The following is a 21,599-nucleotide window of genomic DNA, read 5'->3' as shown; positions in this document are numbered from 1 at the left end:
AAATTAGCTGGGCGTGGTGGCAGGCACCTGTAATCCCAGCTATTCAGGAGACTGAGGCAGAAGAAACACTTGAATCTGGGAGGCGGAGGCTGCAGTGAGCTGAGATAGCTCCACTTCACTCCAGCTAGACTCTGTCTCAAAAAAAAAAAAAAAAAAAAAATGCCGGGCGCGGTGGCTCACACCTGGAATCCCAACACTTTAGGAGGTCGAGGCGGAAGGATCACTTGAGGTCAGGAGTTCGAGACCAGCCTCGCCGATATGGCAAACCCCGTCTCTACTAAAAATACAAAAATTAGCTGGGCATGGTGGCGCATGCCTGTAATCCCAGCTACTCCGGTGGCCGAGGCACGAGAATTGCTTGAATCTGGGAAGCGGAGGTTGCAGTGACCCGATCGTGCCACTGCACTCCAGCCTGGGCAACAGAATGCGACTCTATCCCCCCACCAAAAAAAGGAATTTTCACACTACATCTGAAGAATCAGGAGCAACTAGCTGAGCAAGAGGCCTCAGGGTTGGGATCCTCAGGCAGCAGGTAGCACTCATACAAAGGTTTTTAATTAGGTGGAATTAGGCTTGGTTGCCTTGGGGAAATGAAAGGATTATATGGCAGGAGTGGGGGTCTCAAACTCCTGACCTCGAGTTAGAGATCAGCCTGACCAACAAGGTGAAACCCCGTCTCTACTAAAAATACAAAAATTAGCCCTGTGTGGTGGCGGGCCCCTATAATCCCAACTATTCAGGAGACTGAGGCAGGAGAATCACTTGAACTCGGGAGGCGGAGGTTGCAGGGAGCCAAGATCCTGCCATTGCACTCCAGCCTGGGCGACAGAGCAAGACTCTGCCTCAAAATAAACAAACAAAACAAACAAACAAACAAAAACCTGACCTCAAGTGATCCATCTACCTCGGCCACCCAAAGTGCTAGGATTTCTAGTTTAACTAAGCTGCTTTTGTAAAGCTAATGAAAGGCCATTAGGTTAGGAGGATGAGAGGAGCCTGCATTCTGTGAAGGTCTAGAGGTAGATTAATACAAAAATTAGCCCTGCGTGGTAGCGCACGCATATAATCCCAGGTACTAGGGAGGCCGAGGCAGGAGAATTGCTTGAACCCAGGGGGTTGTAGTGAGCCGAGATCACGCCACTGCACTCCAGCCTGGGTGACACAGAGAGACTCGGTCTCAAAAAAAAAAAAAAAAATTAAAAATTAGAGGTAGAGGTGGGCATAGTGGCTCATGCCCATAATCCCAGCATTTTGGGAGACTGAGGTGGGCGGATCATGAGGTCAGGAGTCTCAAACTCCTGACCACCAACATGGTGAAACTCCTTCTCTACTAAAAATACAAAACTTAGCTGGGCGTGATGGCTCACGCCTGTAATCCCAACTGCTCAGGAGGCTGAGGCAGGAGAATCGCTTGAACCCAGGAGGCGGAGGTTGCTGGTGTGCTGAGATCGTGCCATTGCACTCCAGCCTGTGTAACAAGAGTGAAACTCCATAAAAAAAAAAAAAATTAGCTGGAAGTGGTGGCGCACACCTGTAGTCCCAGCTTCTTGGGAGGCTGATCCAGGAGAATTGTTTTAACCTGGGAAGTGGAGGTTGCAGTGAGCCGAGAGCCCACCACTGCACCCCAGCCTGGGCAGCAGAGTGAGACTCCGTATCAGGAAAAAAAAAAAAAAAAAAAAAAGAATAACGGTATATAGAATAATTACCGTATTATAGCATTTATTTCATGAGCATTGTTTTAACTCCTTTGGGGCCTTACAATCCCATAAGATATGTACAATTGTTAGTCAGCTTACAGATAAGGAAACTAGGCCTATGGACACAGGGCTTATAAATGTAAAATCAGGCTGCAACAGCAATCATACAGGGTGGTTGCAGGAGATTAGAAAATTCCAGGCAGCAGTTTCACAAGACCAGACCAGCAACAGGAAACTTGAAATAGCTACAGAAGCTATGGGCTGATAAGATCCTGAAAAACCAGGGCGTGGGCCAAGTAGGCTAAGTCCGACTAGACCCAATATGGCACTGGGTCTGACCTCGGTTTCACGTAGGACCTCATTATATGTTCATCAACACAGTCACACACCCACCAGCATCATGACGGTCCCAGGAACACCCATATTTGGTGTAAAGATGGGTGGCACCACAGTTCTGAGAAATCTCCATCTTTTTCCAGGAATGCTCATGAGTATTTTACCCCTTGGTTAAAAAAATCCAAAAAGGGCCAGCGTGGTGGCTCACGTCTGTAATCCCAGCACTTTGAGAGGCTGAGGCAGGTGGATCACTTGAGGTCAGGACTTTGAGACCAGCCTGGCCAACATGGAGAAACCCTGTCTCTACTAAAAATACAAAAAATTAGCCAGGTGTGGTGGCGCCTGCAGTCCCAGCTGCTTGGGAAGCTAAGGTAGGAGAATTGTTTGAACCCAGGAGGTGGAGGTTGCAGTGAGCTGAGATCGTGTCACTACACTCCAGCCTGGGCTGGACAGAACAAGACTCCATCTTTAAAAAACAAACAAACAAACAAAAAACCCATAACGGTAGCAGCCTCAACCCCCCTTGCACGTGATTCTCTCGAGTCCCCTTTCATGAGTGTGGACTTTCCCCTTTGCAATAAATCCTGTATTTTCACTCTTTTCCAACTCGTCCTTGAATTCATTTTCATGACTGTGTCAAGAGCCTGAACACTGGCTGAGGGGGAGGTCCCACCCGGGCTTGGGGACCTCGATACCCACTGGTATCAAAGCAACGGAGGAGAATGTAAAGGCCTGTAGAGATTGAGCCTTAATGGTCCAGCAAGGCACAGACAATTCTGCCTCCTTTTAGGGATCCGTGACTCAATTCTCCAGCTCCCTTGGGGGGGTGGTGATAATTGTCCCAAGTTTAATACAATTTAGGCAGATGTCAAAGAAAAACTACAGGCCGGGTCTGGGTGCGGTGGCTCACGCCTGTAATCCCAGCACTTTGGGAGGCCAAGGCGGGTGGATCATGAGGTCAGGAGTTCGAGACCAGCCTGATCAACGTAGTGAAACCCCGTCTCTACTAAAAATACAAAAATTAGCCAGGCATGGTGGAGTGTGCCTGTAATCCCAGCTACTCAGGAGACTAAGACAGGAGAATCGCTTGAACCCAGGAGGCGGAGGTTGCAGTAAGCAGAGATCGTGCCACCGCATTCCAGCCTGGGTGACACAGCGAGACTCCATCTCAAACAAACAAACAAAAATACATAGGCCGGGTGCATTGGCTCACGCCTGTTATCTCAGCATTTTGGGAGGCCAAGGCAGGTGGATCACAAGGTCAGGAGTTTGAGACCAGCCTGGCCAACATAGTGAAACCCTGTCTCTACTAAAAATACAAAAATTAGCCAGGCGTGGTGGCGCACACCTCTAGTCCCAGCTACTCGGGAGGCTGAAGCAGGAGAATCACTTGAACCTGGGAGGCAGAGGTTGTGGTGAGCTGAGATTGCACCACTGCACTTCAGCCTGGGCAACAGAGCGAGACTCAGTCTCAAAAAAAGCAACAAAAAAAACTATAAAACCCACCAGCTGTTATGTGGGCGGCAAGACACCCAGGTGCCGAGGCAAGAGACCGAGGACATGAGCTGTTCCAGTATAATAAAATATAAAACAAGAATAATTATACCAGATATAGATCTTAGATATGATTATATATGAATATCATTAATCATTAGTTTGTAGCAATTACTCTTTATCCCAATATTATAATAATCCTCGCTCTATAATCATAACCTAGGAAAAACCAGGCCATACAGAGATAGGAGCTGAGGAGACATAGTGAGAAGTGACCACAAGACAAGAGTGCGAGGCTTCTGTTATGCCCGGACAGGGCCAGCAGAAGGGCTCCTTGGTCTAGCGGTAACGCCAGCATCTGGGAAGACGCCCGTTGCCAAGTGGACCATGGTCTAGCGGTAGCCTCAGTGTCAAGGAAAAACACCCGCTACTTAGCGGACCAGGAAAGGGAGTCTCCCTTTCCCTGCGGGAGTTTAGAGAAGACTCTGCTCCTCTACCTCTTGTGGAGGGCCTGACATTAGTCAAGCTGGCCCACAGTTATCCGGAGGCCTAACCGGCTCCCTGTGATGCTGTGCTTCAGCGGTCACGCTCCTGTTTCACTTTCCTGTTCCACTCTGTGCACCTGGCTCTGCCCTCTAGATAGCAGTAGCAAAATCAGTAAAAGTACTAAAAGTCTCTGAAATGCAGAAATAATGGCATAAGCTGTCTCCTCTCTCTCTCCACCTGGGCTGCCAAACAGGGAGGGGCCCCCTGTCCGGTGGAAACGTGACTCGTGTGACCTTATCAATCATTGGAGATGACTCACACTCCTTACCCTGCCCCTTTTGCTTTGTATCCAGTAAATATCAGCGCAGCCAGACATTCGGGGCCACTACTGGTCTCCGCGCATTGGTGGTAGTAATCCCCCGGGCCCAGCTGTCTTTTCTTTTATCTCTTTGTCTTGTATCTTTATTTCTACACTCTCTCGTCGCCGCACACAGGGAGAAGCCCACCGACCCTGTGGGGCTGGTCCCTGCACTGTTAGGTTCAAAAGAAGCCTCAGGATGAGTGGTAGCAAATTTGAGGAAAAGCGGTTTATCCGCCATTGAAGTGCTTTGTTTTATGCTATTCTCTTCCCAGCTCCCTCAGGGACCTGTAAGTAGAATGCTGTCAGTTTCTGACACATACAGACGCTGCTCGCTACAAATCAAAAGGCTTTATTCCTTATATAAACCCACACTTAGAAAAAATAAATAGTTAATAAATTATAGGCAAACCAGTTGGTCTCAGCCACGCCTCCCACTGAGGTCCAGGGCAGCCGCTGCAGCAGCAGACGAGCGGGAAGGTGTGGCCACAGCTTGGCTCAAGGGCGTGGTCTGGACTGGGGACGAAGGGACAGAGGAGGAAGGCAAGGTCTGGGTGAGGGCAGGGATGGGGGCTAAAGGTGGGTTCCTGAGGCGTGCCCAGGCTCTGGCCCGGGCAGCAGGGGTGAGGCAGGGGCTCAGCTCCTCCTGGGCCTGGGTGATGCGGCGTGCGAAGCGGCTGCGATCCCGAGCAAGCTGCTCCCAGGGGCCCTGGCGGGCGGCCTGGGCCGGCCCTGCCCAGACAGCCAGGAAATGGACAGTGACCTTCTCGGAGAAGCGCACCTGCGGGCAGACATGGGGACACAGGCAGGAGATGCACACAGCCACGGGAATCCGGATGGGGAGGGCGGGGAAGAGAGAGAGAGAAGCAAACAAAAATTAGTTATTACACAAAAATGCTTTCTATCTGGCTAGTCACTTGCCTGTCACTGTCACGGGATTCTCTATCTATCTGACTCACTGAAGGAAGAGGTGGTTTCCTGGGGCTGCTGTGAGCCACAGCTGCTCCCTCCTCCCCCAGGGGCCTGGCCTCTTACAAGGGATTGCGTGACAGCGTACACAGCCTTCTCCATGGAGATGACATGCAACCCTCTGCAACATACAGGGACCCAGAAGTCTCGGCCCCCAGCCCCCTTTCTTTCTAAGACTCAAGAATCTGGGCTCTCAGCCAGATGTGGTAGCTCACGCCTGTAATCCCAGCACTTTGGGAGGCTGAGATGGGTGGATCACGTGATGTCAGGAGTTTGAGACCAGCCTGGCCAACATGGCAAAACCCCCGTCTCTACTAAAAATACAAAAAAAATTAGCTGGGTGTGGTGTCATGCGCCTGTAATCCCAGATACTCTGGAGGCTGAGGCACGAGAATCGCCTGAACTTGGGCGGCAGAGGTTGGCAGTGAGCCAAGATCATGCCGCTGCACTCCAGCCTGGGTGACAGCCCAAGACTCCAACTCAATTAAAAAAAAAAAAAAAATAGAATCTGGGCTCTCAGCACCTACCTTTCTGGCCTTTAGGGGAGTCTCAGGGTCCGGATCATGAGTAGGGGTTTCTGGGCGCTTGAGCCGCCTTTGCAGTCGGAGGGGCAGCCTAGGAGGAGCCCAGGGAGGCGGTGGCTTCTCTCCAGGTACATAGATGGCCACTCGGAAGGGGCAGGGCTCAGCTTCTCCCCAGTCCTCAGCAGCTTCCTCTTCCTCTGTCTCTTTTCCAGGTCGATATCCCCAGCCCCTGAAGTGGGCCCTCTGGTCCGGGTGGGAGGGATGTGGGTCTGACTCAGCTTCTCCCAAGGCTGCTTCTGAATCATCTTCCTTATCCTCACTATCCACATCCTCATCTTCCTCCTCCTCCGTGTCCTCTCCTGGCCGATACACCCAGGCCTTCAAGAAAGCACTTGCAGGGGGTGTGGAAGCAGAAGTCTCAGCTTCTCTTTCATCCTCGGCTGATCCTGTATCACTGTCCTCATCTTCCTCCTCCTCTGTGTCCTCTCCTGGCTGATAGACCCAGGACTTCAAGAAGACACCTGTAGCAGGAGTGGAAGAGGAAGCCTCAGCTTCTCCCTCTTCCTCATCTGATCCAGAGTCACTGTCCTCATCTTCTTCCTCATCTTCCTCTTCCTCTGTGTCCTCTCCTGGCCAATACACCCAGGCCTTCAGGAAGGCACTTGGTGGGGGGATGCAGGGAGGACACTCAGCTTCTCCATCCTTCTCAGCTGCCCCCAAAGCCTTGACCTCACCCTCCTCTTCATCACTGGGTTGGCACCACCAGGACTTGAGCTGGGGCCTCTGGGCTGGGGCTGAGGATTGCGGCCCTGGGGCAGCTTCTCCTTTCCCAGTTTCTTTGTGTGCCTTTTCCTCCTTCTCCTCGGACGCCTCTCCTGAACGATACTCCCAGGACCTGGGGTCGGAGCCTGAAGATCGGGGGGACACGGAGGTCTTCCTGGCTCCTTTACTTCTTTCTGTTCTTTTATCCTCCGTGGCTTGATTCTCTTCCTCCCCTGGGCAAGACACCCAAGTGCTGGGCTTGGATCCTGGAGACAAGGCAGAAGTAGAGGTTCTGTGAGCTTCTTTCTTTACAGCTTCTTCATCGTCCTCCTCCTCCACGGCTGGACAACACTCCCGGTGTGATGGTGGATAAGAGAACTTGTTAACTCCCTCCTCTTCAGCAACTCCCTCTTCCTCGGCTTTCTCCTCCCCTGGGTTCTTATCAGAACCTTGCAGTGTCCTTATCAGAAGGCTGGGAGACAGGGGAGCACGCTGGCCATCTGCAAATTGACTTCCCTGCCCTCTAGGGACACTGGTTGCCTCTCGCTCACCATACATGCCATCATCATCATCCAAAAGTCCCCAGGCTTCAGGAAGGGAACTGCTGGTTTTCAGCCCCAGTGTTTCTCTGTCCTCTCCAGGGCCTCCACTGTCTTCAGCCTCCTCTTCAGGGCGTCTGCCCCAAGGGGTATGGGGGATTGCCAGAGGAGTCCTAGCTTCTCCCTCCAGGCCAGCTTCTACCAGAGCTGCTCCTTTTACTGCTTCCACCAGCCAGGGCTCTAGAGGTCCCAGGCCCCTCAGGCGGCTCCAGGCGCGGCTGAGGAGGCCCATCACTGGGGACAGGAGGAAGAAAGGGTGGGCATCCCTCCACGGGGTAGCCTGATGGGGTGCTTGGCCTGGGGCCATGTGTCTGGGCTGGAAAAGGGGGAGAAAAAAATAAAGTTTAGGGGCCATTTAGAGGATGGCATCCGGGCGTGACTATGAGTCATAGCAACGGAAATAGTAACACAACTATTGTAAATAGCAACGCGAGAGTCCCAAATTCCTTTCTGATCTCGGCCACGCCCATCTCTGTCCCTTGGCTCTGTTCTTATCTCTCAATAGCCAGGAGTCTGAGCCCCTAGTTCTGCCTTAGATCCAAGGGTCCAAGCCCCCAGCCCTCTCTTTCTTCAGACGCAGAACTCCCAGTCCCAAGAACCAAGAACAAAAGTCTTTACTTGCTTCCCTTGGCGACAAAGTCATAGTCCCTAGCTCTCTCATTCTGCTGAAGATTGACAAATCAAACCCTCACACCCTCCTCCCTCGCAGACTGAAACATTCTGACCCGACCCCCTACTTGGCAGATGATTCCTTCACGGGGGACCCAAGAATCTGGCTTCCAGATCCCTCCTCCCTCAGGCTCAGGACTCCAGGCTCCCAACCCCTTCTCCTTTCTAAATCCGGGCCCCCAGCCCCGTGGGGACCCAGGCGTTCCGACCCCTTACTCACCGGCTGGGAGCTGCGCGTCACCCCGGGGGCAGGAGCGCCGGTTCGGTCTGCCAGAAGCGATCACAGGTCCGGACGGTTAGGGAGGCCAGCGCGTTCATCTCACCCTCAGGCGTCGGGCTCCGAGTAACTCAGAGTATCTCCGGCTGCCTCAAGTGCCGTGGCGACAAGCGGGCGCGGGGTCGTGCAGCGTCTTGCATAAGATCAACAACTGGGATGGGAACCGATAAGAGCAACGAACACAATGGCCACTAGGCTTTTATAGCCTACCGCGCCCGGCGTGCTGACGTCACGAAGAGAGGCGGGGTTTCGAGACCGCAACCCGAAGGGTGGGAAGTGGAAGTAAGACAGGACTTCTCGCGGAGATTCCAGCTTTTGCAACGTCACGGCGGAGTTTCCGAGCGTGACCACGCCCCTCCAACAAACGAACTGTCAATCAAATGCGTGGCCCTGCTTCAACAGCGAGCCAGTTCTCTCTCAGCTCAGGGTCAATGCCTTCCCACCCCAATTTATTTATTTATTTAGTTAGTTATTTTGAGGCGGAGTTTTGCTCTTGTTGCTCAGGCTGGAATGCAAAGGGGCGATCTCGGCTCACCGCAACCTCCGCCTTCGGGGTTCAAGCGATTCTCCTGCCTCAGCATCCCGAGTATCTGGGATTGCAGGCATGTGCCGCCACGCCCGGCTAATTTTGTATTTGTTTAGTAGAGACGTAGTTTCTCCATGTTGGTCAGGCTGGTCTGGAACTCCCGACGTCAGGGGATCCTCCCGCCTTGGCCTCCCAAAGTGCTGGGATTGCAGGCATGTGCCGCCACGCCCGGCTAATTTTGTATTTGTTTAGTAGAGACGTAGTTTCTCCATGTTGGTCAGGCTGGTCTGGAACTCCCGACGTCAGGGGATCCTCCCGCCTTGGCCTCCCAAAGTGCTGGGATTACAGGCGTGAGTCACCGCGCCCGGCCTATTTATTTATTTATTTATTCATTATTTATTTTTCTGAGACGGGATTTCACCATGTTTGCTAGGCTGGTCTCGAACTCCTGACCTCAGGTGTTCTGCCTGCCTTGGCCTCCCAAAGTGCTGGGATTGCAGGCGTGAGCCACCACTCCAGGCCTATTTATTTATTTGTTATTTTTTATTTTTTTATTTTTTTTTGAGATGGAGTCTCGCTCTGTCACCGAGGCTGGAGTGCAATGGCGTGATCTCGGCTCACTGCAACCTCCATCTTCCGGGTTCAAGCGATTCTCCCTCTTCAGCCTCCGAGTAGCTGGGATTACAGGCACGCACTACCACACTCAGCTAATTTTTTGTATTTTTAGTAGAGACAGTGTTTCGCCATGTTGCCCAGGCTGTTCTCGAACTCCTGAGCTCAGGCAGTCTGCCTGCCTCGGCTTCCCAAAGTGTTAGGATTATAGGCGTGAGCTACTGCACCCAGCCTATTTATTTTTTGAGTAGGCGTCTCACTCTGTCGCCCAGGCTGGAGTTCAGTGGCGCCATCTCGGTTCACTGCAACCTCCACCTCCTGGGTTCCAGCGATTCTCCTGCCTGAGCCTCTGGAGTAGCTGGGATTACAGGCATGTGCCACAATGCCTGGGTAATTTTTGTATTTTTAGTAGAGACAGTGTTTCGCCATGTTGACCAGGCAGGTCTTTTTTTTTTTTTTTTTTTTTGAGACGGAGTCTTGCTCTGTCGCCCAGGCTGGAGTGCAGTGGCACGATCTTGGCTCACTGCAAGCTCCTCCTCCCTGGTTCTCGCCATTCTCCTGCCTCAGCCTCCCTAGTAGCTGGGACTACAGGTGCCCACCACCACGCCCGGCTAATTTTTTTTGTATTCTTAGTAGAGACGGGGTTTTTCACCGTGTTAACCAGGATGGTCTCGATCTCCTGACCTTGTGATCCACCCGCCTCGGCCTCCCAAAGTGCTGGGATTACAGGTGTGAGCCACCGCACCCGGCCGACCAGGCTGGTCTTGAACTCCTGACCTCAGGTGATCTGCCCGCCTTGGCTTCCCAAAGTGCTGGAATTACAGTTGTGATCCACTGTGCCTGGCCTCCTACCCCAATTTAGCCCACAGGCCCCAGCCTAGAGTCTCCCATTTTCTTTTTTTTTTCTTTTCTTTCTTTTTTCTTTTTCTTTCTTTTTTTTTTTTTTTTTTTGAGACGGTGTCTCACTCTGTCACCCAGGCTGGAGTGCAATGGCATGATCTTGGCTCACTGCAACCTCCGCCTCCCGGGTTCAAGCAATTCTCCTGCCTCAGCCTCCTGAGTAGTTGGGAGTACAGGAGCTTGCCACCACGCCTGGCTAGAGTCTCCTATTTTCACATGTGGTTGGTTTCCTCCCCGAGTGCGAGGGTGTCATTGTTCCCATTTCACAGATGGGGAAACAGGCTTGGAAATGAAGCCACTTGACCAAGATAGTCACAGCAGGGTCCAGATTCCTTGCAAATGAGAATGAGGATGTAAGCACTATGAGATCAGGCACTTTGCTGGGCTCAATGCTTTTCAAAAAAAAGTAATTAGGCTGAGCGCGGTGGCTCACGCCTGTAATCCTAGCACTTTGGGACGCTGAGGCAGGTGGATCATGAGGTCAGGAGATCAAGACCATCCTGGCTAACACGGTGAAACCCCGCCTCCACTAAAAATACAAAATAAATTAGCCGGGCGTGGTGGTGGGCACCTGTAGTCCCAGCTACTCGGGAGGCTGAGGCAGGAGAATGGCGTGAACCTGGGAGGCAGAGCTTGCAGTGAGCTGAGATCGTGCCACTGTACTCCAGCCTGGGCGACAGAGCGAGACTCCGTCTCAAAAAAATAATAATAATAATTAATTTAGGCCGGGTGCAGTGGCATGTGCCTGTAGTTCCAGCTACTCAGGAGGCTGAGTCAGGAGAATCGCTTGAACCCGGGAGGCGGAGGTTGCAGTGAGCCGAGATCACGCCACTGCACTCCAGCCTGGCGACAGAGCAAAACACCGCCTCAAAAAAAAAAAAAAAAGAAATTCATTTTCTAAATAGAGACAAGGTCTCGCTATGATGCCCAGGCTGGTGTTGAACTCCTGGTCTCAAGCGATCCTCCTGCCTTGGCCTCCCAAAGTGCTGGGATTACAGGCGTGAGCCATTGCACCCAGCCAGGGCTCACTGCTTTCTTCTCAGTGGCTGCAACAGACAGTGCCTGCACACAGTAGGTGCTCAACAGGTGCATGGTGAATGGCAGTTAAACCGAAAGCTCAGATTCCTTCCCGGTCACAGGCACAAGGCTCCACTCCTGGGTGTCATCTGCTTCAGACTTAGGCAGTAGCTCTGCCCCCACAAGCCGCGATTCTGCCTGGGTGGCACTCTTTGTGCGGGTGGGGGCGCTTCTGCTACAAGTTCCAGGCCCTGGGTGACAGTTCCAGCCCCCCGCTCTCCTCCCCTGCCTACGGATGCATAATCTTGTTCCTCAAAATATACCAAGGAATCATGTCTCTCTCCTGAGGGAGTTGTCCTCAGTCTAGAAGAGAATTCTCACCTGGATCTGAGGTGGAGGTTTGGAACTCTCCATTTCACCCTGCCCTACTGGGACCATCCCCTTTTCTCCCTAGGGGACCTGGACAAACCGTCCCTGGCCCCTTCCAAGCACAGCCATGTTTCCAGACCCCCAGCTCTTTCACGACTCAGGAGTCCTGATCCTAGCTCAGACCTTCTCGGGCACCCAGGAGTCTGGATCCCTAACCCATTCCCTCCAGGGCTTTGGAAATTTGAGTCCCCACCCCTTGCAGGACACAAGCCTCCTCCGTTTAGGACACCAGTGGCTCAGGCCCCCAACCACAGCAGCAAACCCACGGGGGCCCTGGAGTGCAGGCCTCAAGTCCAACTCTCCAAACACTGAGAAGTCCCAACCTTGGTCCTTAGGGGACCTGGGAATTGGGGGGCCCAAGCCCCTCCCTTCAGCTATGGGGGCAGCTGAGCCAGAGGTCAGGCTGTAGTGGGGAGGCCAGAAGGGGCGGGGACAGCCGGGATTGGGAGGGGAGAACAGCAGCGTGGGCGGCTGGCAGAGGCAGGGAAAGACCAGCAGAGAGGAAAGAGAAACTGGGAGAGGGAGGAAGGGAGAAAGTGAGAAGGGAAATCGGAAAGAGAAAAGGGAGGAAACGGCAGAGCCAGAGAGAAAGAGGAAGAGACTGAGTGTGAAGGAGAGAGGACACAGGGGATGACTGAGAGACAGAGAGAGAGAGAGAGAGAGAATGAGACAGAGACTTAAGGAAGAGACCCTGTGAGTCTGACAATAAAAGATTTGGACAGAAACAGAAAGATTGGAGAGAGAGAGAGAGGGAGAGAATGAGTGAGAGAGAGACTGGAAGAGACAGAGATCAGAGGGAGACACAGAAAGTGAGAGTGGGGAGAGAGGTAGTGTAAAAGGAAGAGAGAGAGAGAGAGACCGTAAGAGACAGGAGACAAAGAGACAAAAAGTGTGAGTGAGCAGGTGAGGAGAGAGATTGAGAACTATGAGAGACAGCAGCTAAGAGACAAAGGAGGCGGGAGACTGCCTAGGTGCCGCAGCACCCACACCGTCCTCTTGCCCCCCCGTCACTGGGACCCCAGAGCTGGGTAAGTTCCCTGGCTGGGCTGGGAGGGGCTCTCTGGGTTCACATTCCTGGTGCCGCAGGGCTTGGCTTGGGGAGTTGGCAGGGGTGGTTTGGGGGTGCATGTGGGAGGGCGGGAGACAGGTAGCCTGGGGCAGCCGGAAGGAGGCAGGGAATGGGGAGTCCCTAAGCACAGAGAGGGTCAAATTCCTGGCCTGAGTGCAGTGGGCAGGAATAAAGAAGCCCCTATTCTCTGGCCTGGGCTGCAGACAGCTGCCCCCTCCCGCAGCTGCCAGGGCCGCCTACCTCTCTTGGCACCACTCTTGGTATGTGGTCACGGGCCATGGCCTCCCCCAGCCCCCCAAGTCCCGAAACAACAGGCTCTTTCTCTGCAGCCTCCTCCGACCTCCAAGCCCCTGACCCCATCTCTGTCTCACACCCGTCACTGCAGAGACACAGCCCCTTTCTTTCTCTCCCCCAGCCCTTGATGGAGGGGAGCCGACCTCGCAGCAGCCTGAGCCTGGCCAGCAGCGCCTCCACCATCTCCTCGCTCAGCAGCCTGAGCCCCAAGGTTTGAGCTTCCTGGCGGGGATGGGGAGGAAGGTGGGGCTCTGGGCCGCCCATCCTTCTGTTTCCCCAAGGACTCTGGTTGTTAAGGACAAAGATCCTTAGCAACGGGGTCTGCCAGACATAGTAAGGTCCCAAATTGCCTACACACCGCAGCTAGGAATTCAGAGGCACTCCCAGCTCTGTCCCCACCCTTTGTATTTTCCTAATTCTAAACCAGAGTAACAACCTCCCTTGACCCTGGTTGCTAAGATAAAGCCGCTCCCCAGCCATGAGGCCCCTCGAGTTCTGAGAAGTAGTGGCTGCTCTTGATTAGTGCCAGAACTTGCTGTCCTATCTCTCGCCATCCAATCTACCCACTAATGAAATCCTATAAGGAGAGACCCTTCTCTGACAATAAGACCCAAGGGGCCTCCAGATACTTGCATCCCAAATCGGCATCCCAGCCAAAAGCTTAGGGAGACACTCATTTCTTTTTCCTCCTGCCGTTCCACACATATTGTTTCTCAAGTTCAGAGCCCAGAGATCTGATCTCAGCCTTGGTCAGTACCACCGCTTCCAAGGAAGGGCATATTGTCGGGACCTGGCTAAGGATGCCTGAGATATCTGTGGGCATCAGGAGATGAGGCTCCATCCGGGCAGGATGGAGGGATTTGAGGCTTCCTCTCCTTGTACTTGGTTGCTAAGGGGTGTGACCGCAGGGCACCAGGGCATCCTTTGATTCACTGGAGACTCAGCGTGAGAGTTCCCCCTGATTATGGGGCCCTCCCAGCCCATAGTCCCAGTTCAGATCCCAAAGGACCTACTACAGCTCTGGCTCTGGTGGCCAAGGGCATCTGCTTCTTGGCAGTGGATGCTTGATCCCCAAATTGCTTCCCTACAGCCTCTTCCTTGCCTCTGAACACCTCCCTCTGCCCATCAAAAAAAGAGTCTCGGCCCGGCGCAGTGGCTCACGCCTATAATCCCAGCACTTTAAGAGGCTGAGGCGGGTGGATCACCTGAGGTCAGGAGTTCAAGAGCAGCCTGACTGACATGGCGAAACCGCGTCTCTGCTAAAAATACAAAAATTAGCCAGGCGTGGTGGCACGTGCCTGCAATCTCAGCTACTCAGGAGGCTGAGGCAGGAGAATCACTTGAACCCGAGAGGCAGGGGTTGCAGTGAGCCAAGATGGTGCCAGTGTGCTCCAGCCTGGGGGACAGAGCGAGACTCTGTCTCAAAAGAAAAAGAAAAAAAGAGTCTCTCCCAGCCTGGGCAACAAAGTGAGACCCCCGTCCCCTACAAAAAGTAAAAAAATTAGCTGGGCATGGTGGGACATGCCTGTGGTCCCAGCTACATGGGAGGCTGAGGCTGGAGGATCACCTGAGTCCAGGAGGTAAAGGCTGCAGTGTTTAGGCTACTGCACTCCAAAGAGCCTGTCAAAAAAAAAAGAGTCTCTTAACTCTGCAATAAGAACACCTCCCAATTCTGATCTCCAACTTCAGCCCCCACCTTGACCCTTTTCTTTCTTTCTTTTTTTTTTTTTCTTTGAGACGGAGTCTCACTCTGTCTCCCGGGCTGGAGTGCAGTGGTGCGATCTCGGCTCACTGCAAGCTCCTCCTCCCGGGTTCTCGCCATTCTCCTGCCTCAGCCTCCCGAGTAGCTGGGACTACAGGCGCCCGCCACCACGCCCGGCTAATTTTTTGTATTTTTAGTAGAGACGGGGTTTCACCGTGTTAGCCAGGATGGTCTCGATCTCCTGACCTCGTGATCCACCCGTCTCAGCCTCCGAAAGTGCTGGGATTACAGGTGTGAGCCACTGCGCCCGGCTGGTCCTTGACCCATTTCTCAGGGCAGCCAAGCGAGAGCCTACGGTTGCCTGTGTCCACCCTCACCCCCTCCCAGGACCATCCTAGGCTCTCCCTGTTCACTTCTGTCCCCTTCTCTCCTCAGAAGCCCACCCGGGCAGTAAACAAGATCCACGCCTTTGGGAAGAGAGGCAATGCGCTCAGGAGGGATCCCAACCTTCCCGTGCACATCCGAGGCTGGCTTCATAAGCAGGTGGGGTCAGTAGGAGAAGGAAAAGGACACTGAAGTCTGTGCCCCGGCTGTCCTCTGTCTCTCTCCTTGCAAGTCCCCAAATAGGCTTTCTTTTTCTTGCTATCACTGCCCCTCCCCTTAGTCCGTCATTGTTTGTTTGTTTGTTTATTTATTTATTTTTAAGACAGAGTCTCTTTCTGTCGCCCAGGCTGGAGGGCAGTGGTATGATCTCGGCTCAATGCAACCTCTGGCCTCCAGTTCAAGCAATTCTCGTGCCTCAGCCTCCCGAGTAGCTGGGCTTACAGGCATGCACCATCATGCCTAGCTAATATTTGTATTTTTAGTAGAGATGGGGTTTTATCATGTTGGCCAGGGCGGTCTGAAACTCCCGACCTCAAGTGATCCACCCGCCTCGGCTCCCTAAAATGCTGGGATTACAGGCGTGAGCCACCGTGCCTGGCCCATTCATTCATTCTTTCTTGACTACTTCTTGAACACTTACAGTGTTCCCAATCCCAGGGCACACACCATGCAAATAACACAAAAGTATTTATATTACATTCCAGATTGGGTGGAGCATGGGTGGATAATAAATTAGTAAATAAATAAATGGACTTGGTCATTTCAGATCGCAGGATGGGCTATGAAGAAGTAACATAGGGTCCAGGTTCAGTGGTGTAACCCCAGCATTTTGGGAGGCCAAGACGGGAAGATCGCTTGAGCTTAGGAATTCTAGACCAGCCTGGGCAACATGAAGAAACCTCATCTCAACAACAAATACACACACACACAAAACCTAGCTGAGCGTGGTGGTGTGCGCCTATAGTCCCAGCTACTCGGGAGGCTAAGGCAGGAGGATTGCTGAAGCCCAGGAGGCTGAGGCTGCAGTGAACTGTGTTCATGTCACTGCACACCAGCCTGGGTGACAGAGTGAGACCCTGTCTCAAAAACAAAAACAAAAAAACGGAATATGATGTGCTTGAACGTGGCTGAGAGAGGAGAACTTCAATTTGACATTTGGTCAGGGAAAATTATCTCTGAGGTGACATTTGAGCTGGCTGAGCATAGTGGGTCATGCCGGTAATTCAAACGCTTTGGGAGGCTGAGGCGGGCGGATCACCTGAGGTCAGGAGTTCAAGACCAGCCTGGTCAACATGGCGAAACCCTGGCTCTACTAAAAAATACAAAAATTAGCCGGGCCAGCTTGGGGGTGCCTGTAATCCCAACTACTTGGGAGGCTGAGACAAGGAAAATTTGAATCTGGGAGGTGGAGGTTGCAGTGAGCCGAGGTTGCGCCATTGCACTCCAGCCTGGATGATGGAGTGAGACTCCATGTCAAAAAAAAAAAAAAGACCTGGAGGCAGATCGCATCCAAAAGGAAAAGGTCTGCAGCAGGCAAAACCTTGGTGTCAAGTGAGGCCAGGGGAAGAAGCCAGGAGGAGCAGCAGAGCAGTGGTTCTCAAAGTGTGGTCCCAGACCAGCAGCATCAGCGTCATCTGGGGACTTGCTAGAAAGGCAAATGATGAGGTACCATCATAGATTTGCCAAATCAGGAACTCTGGGGATGGGGCCCCAGAATCTGTGTTTTAACACACCTTCCTGGTGATTCTTATGCACCTTCAAACTCAAAACTCTCTGCAAAGCAGTACATGGGCTGGGCACGATGGCTGACGCCTGTAATCCCAGCACTTCGGGAGGTCGAGGCAGGTGGATCACAAGGTCAAGAGTTCGAGACAAGCCTGGCCAATATGGTGAAACCCCATCTCTACTAAAAATACAAAAATTAGGCTGGGCGTGGTGGCTCACTCCTGTAATCTCAGCACTTTGGGAGGCCAAGGTGGGCGGATCATGAGGTCAGGAGATCGAGACCATCCTGGCTAACACGGTGAACCCCCATCTCTACTAAAAAATACAAAAAAAAAAAAATTAGCCGGGCGTGGTGGTGGTCGCCTGCAGTCCCAGCTACTTGGGAGGCTGAGGTAGGAGAATGGCGTGAACCCAGGAGGTGGAGCTTGCAGCGAGCCAAGATCATGCCACTGCACTCCAGCCTGGGTGACAGAGCGAAGACTCCGTCTCAAAAAAAAAAAAAAACAAAAAACCTAAATTAGCCTGCATGGTGGCAGGCACCTGTAGTCCCAGCTACTCAGGAGGCTGAGCCAGGAGAATCGCTTGAACCCGGGAGGCAGAGATTGCAGTCAGCCGAGATTGTGCCACTGCACTCCAGCCTGGGTGACAGAGCGAGACTCCATCTCAAAACAAAACAAAACAAACAAACAAAAAACAGTAAGTGATGGTAAGGAATTTGAGACTGAATTTCAAGTGTTCTTAATTCTCTGTTTTGAAAAGGGGACTCACGTGATCTAACTTATAATTTTAAAAGATCATGTGGGCTTCTATGGGAATGGGTTGAGGAGAAGAGGCACACGAGGTTGGAGATAGTTAGTGGAGTAGTTCAGGCAGAGGCGATGAGTAGTTCAGGCAGGTGGAGACGCTGCATTTGGGTCATGGCTCATTGCCACCTTCCTGGCCTCTCTGTGTCTCAGGCTCCAGAATAATTGGACTAAGTCTCTGCAGCTAAAGTCTGCCCATATGTGGTCCATGTCTCATCCAAACCTCCCTAAAACTTCTCAATCTCCAGCGGATAGACGAGAAAACATGAAGGTGGATTCTAGGCGGAAATGACTTGTTCCAGAGCATAGTTTGAAAGTGGGGGCTGGGTGCGGTGGCTCACGCCTGTAATCCCAGCACTTTGGGAGGCCGAGGCAGGCAGATCACAAGGTCAGGAGATCGAGACCATCCTGGCTAACACGGTGAAACCCCGTCTCTACTAAAAATACAAAAACAAAATTAGCCGGGTGTGGTGGCGGGGGGCCTGTAGTCCCAGCTACTCGGGAGGCTGGGGCAGGAGAATGGCGTGAACCCGGGAGGCGGAGCTTGCAGTGAGCTGAGATCGTGCCACTGCACTCCAGCCTGGGCAACAGAGCGAGAGTCCATCTCAAAAAACAAAAAAAGAAAGTGGGGGAGGCCAGACGCAGTGGCTCACGCCTGTAACCCCAGCACTTTGGGAGGCCGAGGTGGGTAGATCATTTGAGGTCAGGAGTTCAAGACCAGCCTGGCCAACATAGTGAAACCCTGTCTCTACTAAAAATACAAAAATTAGCTGGGTGTGGTGGTGCGTGCCTGTAATCCCAGTTACTCGGGAGGCTGAGGCAGGAGAATCATTTGAACCTGGGAGGCAGAGGTTGCCGTGAGCCGAGATCATGCCACTGCTCTCCAGCTTAAGCTACAGAGCAAGACTCTGTCAAAAAAAAAAAAAAAAGAGAGAGAAAAGAAAAGAAGTAGGGCTACTATTCTATTCTATCATGTTCAGAGGGCTTCCAGCTCTCCTTCTTATCCACTCCATTGCCCCAAACATGTGTCTCTGTCTCTTCTGTCTCTCTGGGTCTTTCTCCTGTGCCTCCACCCCACTCCCAGGCTCAAGTGATCCTCCCTCCTCAGCCTCCGGAGTAGCTGGGGCTACAGGCACGCGCCACCACACCTGGCTAATTTTTTTTTTTAGTAGTAGAGATGGGGTTTCGCCATGTTACCCAAGCTGGTCTCAAACTCCTGGAATTGAGTGATCCACCTGCCTTGGCCTCTCTAAGTGCTGGGATTACAGGCGTGAGCCATTGTGCTCGGCCTCACCCCACTCTCTTGATCCCTACTTTATGTCTCTGTTCTCCTCTCTCCAAGTTTCTTTCTCTCTCTGGCTCTCTGTCCCCATCGTCACTGCCTTCATCCCCTTTTTCTGTTTCCCTTTACTCAGGCCCCTCCTCCCATCTCTCTCCCCAGGACAGCTCGGGGCTCCGTCTCTGGAAACGCCGCTGGTTCGTCCTCTCCGGCCATTGCCTCTTTTATTACAAGGGTCAGTGGCTGGCTGGCTGGCTTGGGGTGGGAGGGCCCCCCCGCCCAGTCTGCCCTTCTCTCTAGCATCTTGGCCTTCTGATCCCTGTGTGATCCTTGACCCCAGCCCCTCTTTGCAGACAGCCGCGAGGAGAGTGTCCTAGGCAGCGTCCTGCTCCCCAGCTACAATATTAGACCAGATGGGCCGGGAGCCCCCCGAGGGCGGCGCTTCACCTTCACCGTGAGTCCATCCATCCATGTTGTGCACCAGGCGATGGGAACTGGAGATGAGGGCGGGTAGATATCTGTCGAGGAAACTCCAAGTCCTAACAAGCACTGGAATATCCATTACTGGAGATAAAAGGTCTTGACAAGCGTCAATTGCATCCTCGTTTTGTTTTGTTTTGGTTTGTTTTTTTGTTTTGTTGTTTTTTGAGACAGAGTCTCTCTCTGTCACCCAGGCTGGAGTGCAGTGGTGCGATCTCGGCTCACTGCAACCTCCGCCTCCTGGGTTCAACGGATTCTCCTGCCTCAGCCTCTGGAGTAGCTGGGATTACAGGCGCACGCCACCACGCCTGGCTAATTTTTTGTATTTTTAGTAGAGATGGGGTTTCGCCATGTTGGCCAGGCTGGTCTCAAACTCCTGGCCTCAGGTGATCCGCCTACCTCAGCCTCCCAAAGTGCTGGGATTACAGGCATGAGCCACCGCGTCTGTCCAGTCCTTTCCTTTCCTTTCCTTTCCATTTTCCTTTCCTTTCCTTTCCTTTTTCCTTTCCTTTCCTTTTTTTTTCTCTCTCTCTCTTTCTTTCTTTCTCTTTCTCTCTTTCTTTCTCTCCCTTCCCTTCCCTCTTTCCCTCTTTCCTTTCTTTCTTGACGGTCTTGCTCTGTCACCCAGGCTGGCGTGCAGCGACGCAAAGTGCAGTCTTCCTGCCTCAGTCTCCCCGGTAGCTGGGACTACAGGTGCGCTCCACCACGTCCGGCTAATTTTTTGATTTTTTTGTAGAGACGGGGGCGGAAGGAGGTGGAGGGGGGTGTCTCATTATGTTGCCTAGGCTGGTCTCAAGCCATCCTCCCGCATCGGCCTCCCAAAGCACTGGGTTTACTGGAATGAGTCACCGGTCCGGCCTGTCCTCCTTTTTACAAGGCCCGGGAGTCCGGATTCCAAGCCTTCTCTTCCCGCAGGCAGAGCACCCGGGCATGAGGACCTACGTTTTGGCCGCTGACACCTTAGAAGACCTGCGGGGCTGGCTACGGGCGCTGGGCCGGGCCTCCCGTGCGGAGGGGGACGACTAGTGAGTAGAGGTCCAAGCCATGCTCCTGACCCTCCACCCTGAGTCAGTCTCGTCATCCCAACTCCTCCCCTTTGGGGCCCTGCCCCCTTGAGTGTCCAATCACCAGTCTTCTAGCTAAGGCGCCTCGTCTTCTAGGCCCCACCTCCAGGGAACTTTTCCAATCAGCAAAAGTCTTTCTCCCTTAAGTTCCGCCCACCACCTTGTCCGTCCCCGCCCCCAAGCTGACCCTTCAGTCACGCACTCAGCTCTGCTCCAGGAATGATCAATATTGCACACTCTCTGATTGGCTCCTTCTGAAGTCCCCTGAGCTGCCACCTAAACAATGCCAGGTAAAAGATAGTATCAGATTTTAAAAAAATGTCAGACTATCTCTTAGGCTCTGACATGGCCTGCGCCAATTATCAGGCTGGAAACTGGACTACCTGGCTGAGTCTATCCCATATTCCGGGGCATTGGGTCCAGCAACCTGGATAGACGTTGTGGCCTGGCGCACAGGTCAGTTTCACATTGGAGGCCTCAGTTTCCCCTTCTGAAGAAGGGGGACGATGATTTATAGTGCACAACTTTCCTTTTTTGGGTGCATCCTTGTGTTCTCACCTGTGACAAGAGAATAGGGCTGTTATGAAGTTCGAAGGAGTGATATCTTGTCTATGTCCACTCGCTAGTGGGCAACCCAGGTCACCTGCACGACCCCAGCCCGGGGAGGGCCCCGGCGGCCCCGGTGGTCCCCCGGAGGTGAGCAGAGGGGAAGAGGGGCGCATCTCAGAATCACCGGAAGTGACTCGACTCTCCAGAGGTCGTGGTAGACCCAGGCTGCTCACTCCCAGCCCCACAACCGACCTCCACTCTGGACTCCAGATGCGGAGGGCGAGGAGCCCCGAGTGAGTAGGGAGGACATGGTTGTGGGCGTGGCCTAAGAGAAGGGCAGGGCCGGAAACTGGTTGGGGGCGGGCCTTAGCGCTTTCTGCTTGAGTGTGTGTGACTTGCTGGGGCTCCCGTGGGGGTCACAGCCTGTCGGGGAGAAGACTGGAGGGGAAGATGCCACAAAGCGGACATTACTGAGGATTTGGACAGTAGAGGAGGATTCTAACCCAGTGGGACAGTAAGACACAGTGAAGTGAGACATGTCCTTGAGGCTGACTTGATGGGTAAGGAGGTGGATGGAGAGGGCTCTAGTTGACTC

The 21,599-nt window shown here is 53.0% G+C and overlaps 2 protein-coding genes across 13 annotated transcripts in view, besides 22 other annotated features; one reads left to right on the top strand and one right to left on the bottom strand.

Annotated features, from left to right (window-relative positions):
• Nucleotides 516-1,228: an enhancer, noted in NCBI's record as "OCT4-NANOG-H3K4me1 hESC enhancer chr19:49382795-49383507 (GRCh37/hg19 assembly coordinates)". NCBI's record gives its function as "activates a minimal SCP1, AML or CMV promoter by ChIP-STARR-seq in naive H9 embryonic stem cells {active_cell/tissue: H9 hESC(naive)}" and the evidence as "EXISTENCE:reporter gene assay evidence [ECO:0000049][PMID:30033119]".
• Nucleotides 1,669-2,281: a transcriptional cis regulatory region, noted in NCBI's record as "candidate enhancer chr19.5328 targeted for multiplex CRISPR interference". NCBI's record gives its function as "positively regulates FTL gene expression in K562 cells {active_cell/tissue: K562}" and the evidence as "EXISTENCE:mutant phenotype evidence [ECO:0000015][PMID:30612741]".
• Nucleotides 1,838-2,798: a transcriptional cis regulatory region, noted in NCBI's record as "intergenic|chr19:49381225-49382185 region (GRCh37/hg19 assembly coordinates) targeted for CRISPR interference". NCBI's record gives its function as "positively regulates FTL and NUCB1 gene expression in K562 cells {active_cell/tissue: K562}" and the evidence as "EXISTENCE:mutant phenotype evidence [ECO:0000015][PMID:31784727]".
• Nucleotides 3,780-4,029: an enhancer, noted in NCBI's record as "active region_14916". NCBI's record gives its function as "activates an Ori minimal core promoter by ATAC-STARR-seq in GM12878 lymphoblastoid cells {active_cell/tissue: GM12878}" and the evidence as "EXISTENCE:reporter gene assay evidence [ECO:0000049][PMID:35858748]".
• Nucleotides 4,040-4,349: an enhancer, noted in NCBI's record as "active region_14915". NCBI's record gives its function as "activates an Ori minimal core promoter by ATAC-STARR-seq in GM12878 lymphoblastoid cells {active_cell/tissue: GM12878}" and the evidence as "EXISTENCE:reporter gene assay evidence [ECO:0000049][PMID:35858748]".
• PPP1R15A (protein phosphatase 1 regulatory subunit 15A) lies at nucleotides 4,708-8,345 on the bottom strand. The gene is made up of 3 exons (NM_014330.5): nucleotides 8,115-8,345; nucleotides 5,868-7,541; nucleotides 4,708-5,152 (listed from the first exon to the last, which is right to left on the bottom strand). The coding sequence occupies exons 2-3, from the start codon at nucleotides 7,530-7,532 to the stop codon at nucleotides 4,793-4,795; spliced, it is 2,025 nt and encodes a 674-aa protein (NP_055145.3). The 5' UTR covers nucleotides 7,533-7,541; nucleotides 8,115-8,345; the 3' UTR covers nucleotides 4,708-4,792.
• Nucleotides 5,130-5,589: an enhancer, noted in NCBI's record as "active region_14914". NCBI's record gives its function as "activates an Ori minimal core promoter by ATAC-STARR-seq in GM12878 lymphoblastoid cells {active_cell/tissue: GM12878}" and the evidence as "EXISTENCE:reporter gene assay evidence [ECO:0000049][PMID:35858748]".
• Nucleotides 5,800-5,849: an enhancer, noted in NCBI's record as "active region_14913". NCBI's record gives its function as "activates an Ori minimal core promoter by ATAC-STARR-seq in GM12878 lymphoblastoid cells {active_cell/tissue: GM12878}" and the evidence as "EXISTENCE:reporter gene assay evidence [ECO:0000049][PMID:35858748]".
• Nucleotides 5,878-6,398: a transcriptional cis regulatory region, noted in NCBI's record as "genic|chr19:49377625-49378145 region (GRCh37/hg19 assembly coordinates) targeted for CRISPR interference". NCBI's record gives its function as "negatively regulates FTL and NUCB1 gene expression in K562 cells {active_cell/tissue: K562}" and the evidence as "EXISTENCE:mutant phenotype evidence [ECO:0000015][PMID:31784727]".
• Nucleotides 6,339-6,951: an enhancer, noted in NCBI's record as "H3K27ac-H3K4me1 hESC enhancer chr19:49377072-49377684 (GRCh37/hg19 assembly coordinates)". NCBI's record gives its function as "activates a minimal SCP1, AML or CMV promoter by ChIP-STARR-seq in naive H9 embryonic stem cells {active_cell/tissue: H9 hESC(naive)}" and the evidence as "EXISTENCE:reporter gene assay evidence [ECO:0000049][PMID:30033119]".
• Nucleotides 6,339-7,938: a biological region, named in NCBI's record as "CRISPRi-FlowFISH-validated BAX, FTL and NUCB1 regulatory elements". NCBI's record gives its function as "regulatory_interactions: BAX | FTL | NUCB1".
• Nucleotides 6,778-7,278: a transcriptional cis regulatory region, noted in NCBI's record as "genic|chr19:49376745-49377245 region (GRCh37/hg19 assembly coordinates) targeted for CRISPR interference". NCBI's record gives its function as "negatively regulates BAX, FTL and NUCB1 gene expression in K562 cells {active_cell/tissue: K562}" and the evidence as "EXISTENCE:mutant phenotype evidence [ECO:0000015][PMID:31784727]".
• Nucleotides 6,952-7,562: an enhancer, noted in NCBI's record as "H3K27ac-H3K4me1 hESC enhancer chr19:49376461-49377071 (GRCh37/hg19 assembly coordinates)". NCBI's record gives its function as "activates a minimal SCP1, AML or CMV promoter by ChIP-STARR-seq in naive H9 embryonic stem cells {active_cell/tissue: H9 hESC(naive)}" and the evidence as "EXISTENCE:reporter gene assay evidence [ECO:0000049][PMID:30033119]".
• Nucleotides 7,058-7,107: an enhancer, noted in NCBI's record as "active region_14912". NCBI's record gives its function as "activates an Ori minimal core promoter by ATAC-STARR-seq in GM12878 lymphoblastoid cells {active_cell/tissue: GM12878}" and the evidence as "EXISTENCE:reporter gene assay evidence [ECO:0000049][PMID:35858748]".
• Nucleotides 7,438-7,938: a transcriptional cis regulatory region, noted in NCBI's record as "promoter|chr19:49376085-49376585 region (GRCh37/hg19 assembly coordinates) targeted for CRISPR interference". NCBI's record gives its function as "negatively regulates BAX, FTL and NUCB1 gene expression in K562 cells {active_cell/tissue: K562}" and the evidence as "EXISTENCE:mutant phenotype evidence [ECO:0000015][PMID:31784727]".
• Nucleotides 7,488-7,577: an enhancer, noted in NCBI's record as "active region_14911". NCBI's record gives its function as "activates an Ori minimal core promoter by ATAC-STARR-seq in GM12878 lymphoblastoid cells {active_cell/tissue: GM12878}" and the evidence as "EXISTENCE:reporter gene assay evidence [ECO:0000049][PMID:35858748]".
• Nucleotides 8,125-8,698: a transcriptional cis regulatory region, noted in NCBI's record as "promoter|chr19:49375325-49375898 region (GRCh37/hg19 assembly coordinates) targeted for CRISPR interference". NCBI's record gives its function as "negatively regulates FTL and NUCB1 gene expression in K562 cells {active_cell/tissue: K562}" and the evidence as "EXISTENCE:mutant phenotype evidence [ECO:0000015][PMID:31784727]".
• Nucleotides 8,125-8,787: a biological region, named in NCBI's record as "NANOG-H3K27ac-H3K4me1 hESC enhancer GRCh37_chr19:49375236-49375847". NCBI's record gives its function as "regulatory_interactions: FTL | NUCB1".
• Nucleotides 8,176-8,787: an enhancer, noted in NCBI's record as "NANOG-H3K27ac-H3K4me1 hESC enhancer chr19:49375236-49375847 (GRCh37/hg19 assembly coordinates)". NCBI's record gives its function as "activates a minimal SCP1, AML or CMV promoter by ChIP-STARR-seq in primed H9 embryonic stem cells {active_cell/tissue: H9 hESC(primed)}" and the evidence as "EXISTENCE:reporter gene assay evidence [ECO:0000049][PMID:30033119]".
• Nucleotides 8,238-8,347: an enhancer, noted in NCBI's record as "active region_14910". NCBI's record gives its function as "activates an Ori minimal core promoter by ATAC-STARR-seq in GM12878 lymphoblastoid cells {active_cell/tissue: GM12878}" and the evidence as "EXISTENCE:reporter gene assay evidence [ECO:0000049][PMID:35858748]".
• Nucleotides 8,458-8,517: an enhancer, noted in NCBI's record as "active region_14909". NCBI's record gives its function as "activates an Ori minimal core promoter by ATAC-STARR-seq in GM12878 lymphoblastoid cells {active_cell/tissue: GM12878}" and the evidence as "EXISTENCE:reporter gene assay evidence [ECO:0000049][PMID:35858748]".
• Nucleotides 8,788-9,400: an enhancer, noted in NCBI's record as "H3K27ac-H3K4me1 hESC enhancer chr19:49374623-49375235 (GRCh37/hg19 assembly coordinates)". NCBI's record gives its function as "activates a minimal SCP1, AML or CMV promoter by ChIP-STARR-seq in primed H9 embryonic stem cells {active_cell/tissue: H9 hESC(primed)}" and the evidence as "EXISTENCE:reporter gene assay evidence [ECO:0000049][PMID:30033119]".
• The window catches only part of PLEKHA4 (pleckstrin homology domain containing A4), a 31,521-nt gene continuing 22,070 nt past the window's right edge, over nucleotides 12,149-21,599 (top strand). For 6 of the 12 annotated variants that reach the window (NM_001161354.2, NM_001438307.1, NM_020904.3 and 3 more), the window contains exons 1-7: nucleotides 12,149-12,683; nucleotides 13,140-13,229; nucleotides 15,156-15,263; nucleotides 19,074-19,146; nucleotides 19,265-19,365; nucleotides 20,307-20,416; nucleotides 21,082-21,297. In NM_001161354.2, coding sequence (NP_001154826.1) covers nucleotides 13,146-13,229; nucleotides 15,156-15,263; nucleotides 19,074-19,146; nucleotides 19,265-19,365; nucleotides 20,307-20,416; nucleotides 21,082-21,297 — 692 coding nt within the window. In that variant the 5' untranslated portion in view covers nucleotides 12,149-12,683; nucleotides 13,140-13,145. Of the gene's footprint in view, nucleotides 12,684-13,139; nucleotides 13,230-15,155; nucleotides 15,264-19,073; nucleotides 19,147-19,251; nucleotides 19,366-20,306; nucleotides 20,417-21,081; nucleotides 21,298-21,497; nucleotides 21,565-21,599 lie in introns of those variants that run through there. The other 6 variants (XM_047439136.1, NM_001438308.1, XM_011527158.4 and 3 more) reach the window with 4 other exon arrangements.
• Nucleotides 21,157-21,236: a silencer, noted in NCBI's record as "silent region_10905". NCBI's record gives its function as "represses an Ori minimal core promoter by ATAC-STARR-seq in GM12878 lymphoblastoid cells {active_cell/tissue: GM12878}" and the evidence as "EXISTENCE:reporter gene assay evidence [ECO:0000049][PMID:35858748]".

Source organism: Homo sapiens, chromosome 19 (assembly GCF_000001405.40).
Source record: "Homo sapiens chromosome 19, GRCh38.p14 Primary Assembly".
Taxonomy (NCBI): Eukaryota; Metazoa; Chordata; class Mammalia; order Primates; family Hominidae; genus Homo; species Homo sapiens.
Note: the sequence above shows the minus strand (reverse complement) of the source record. Positions and strands in the feature narration are given on the sequence as shown.

What these genes read in the sequence shown, in the direction of transcription:
- PPP1R15A (NM_014330.5), bottom strand. Translation starts at nt 7,532, where the DNA reads ATGGCCCCAGGCCAAGCACCCCATCAGGCTACCCCGTGGAGGGATGCC. An exon ending in CTCCCCTAAAGGCCAGAAAG is followed by an intron (nt 5,153 to 5,867) that starts GTAGGTGCTGAG and finishes GTCTGCCCGCAG; the next exon opens with GTGCGCTTCTCCGAGAAGGT.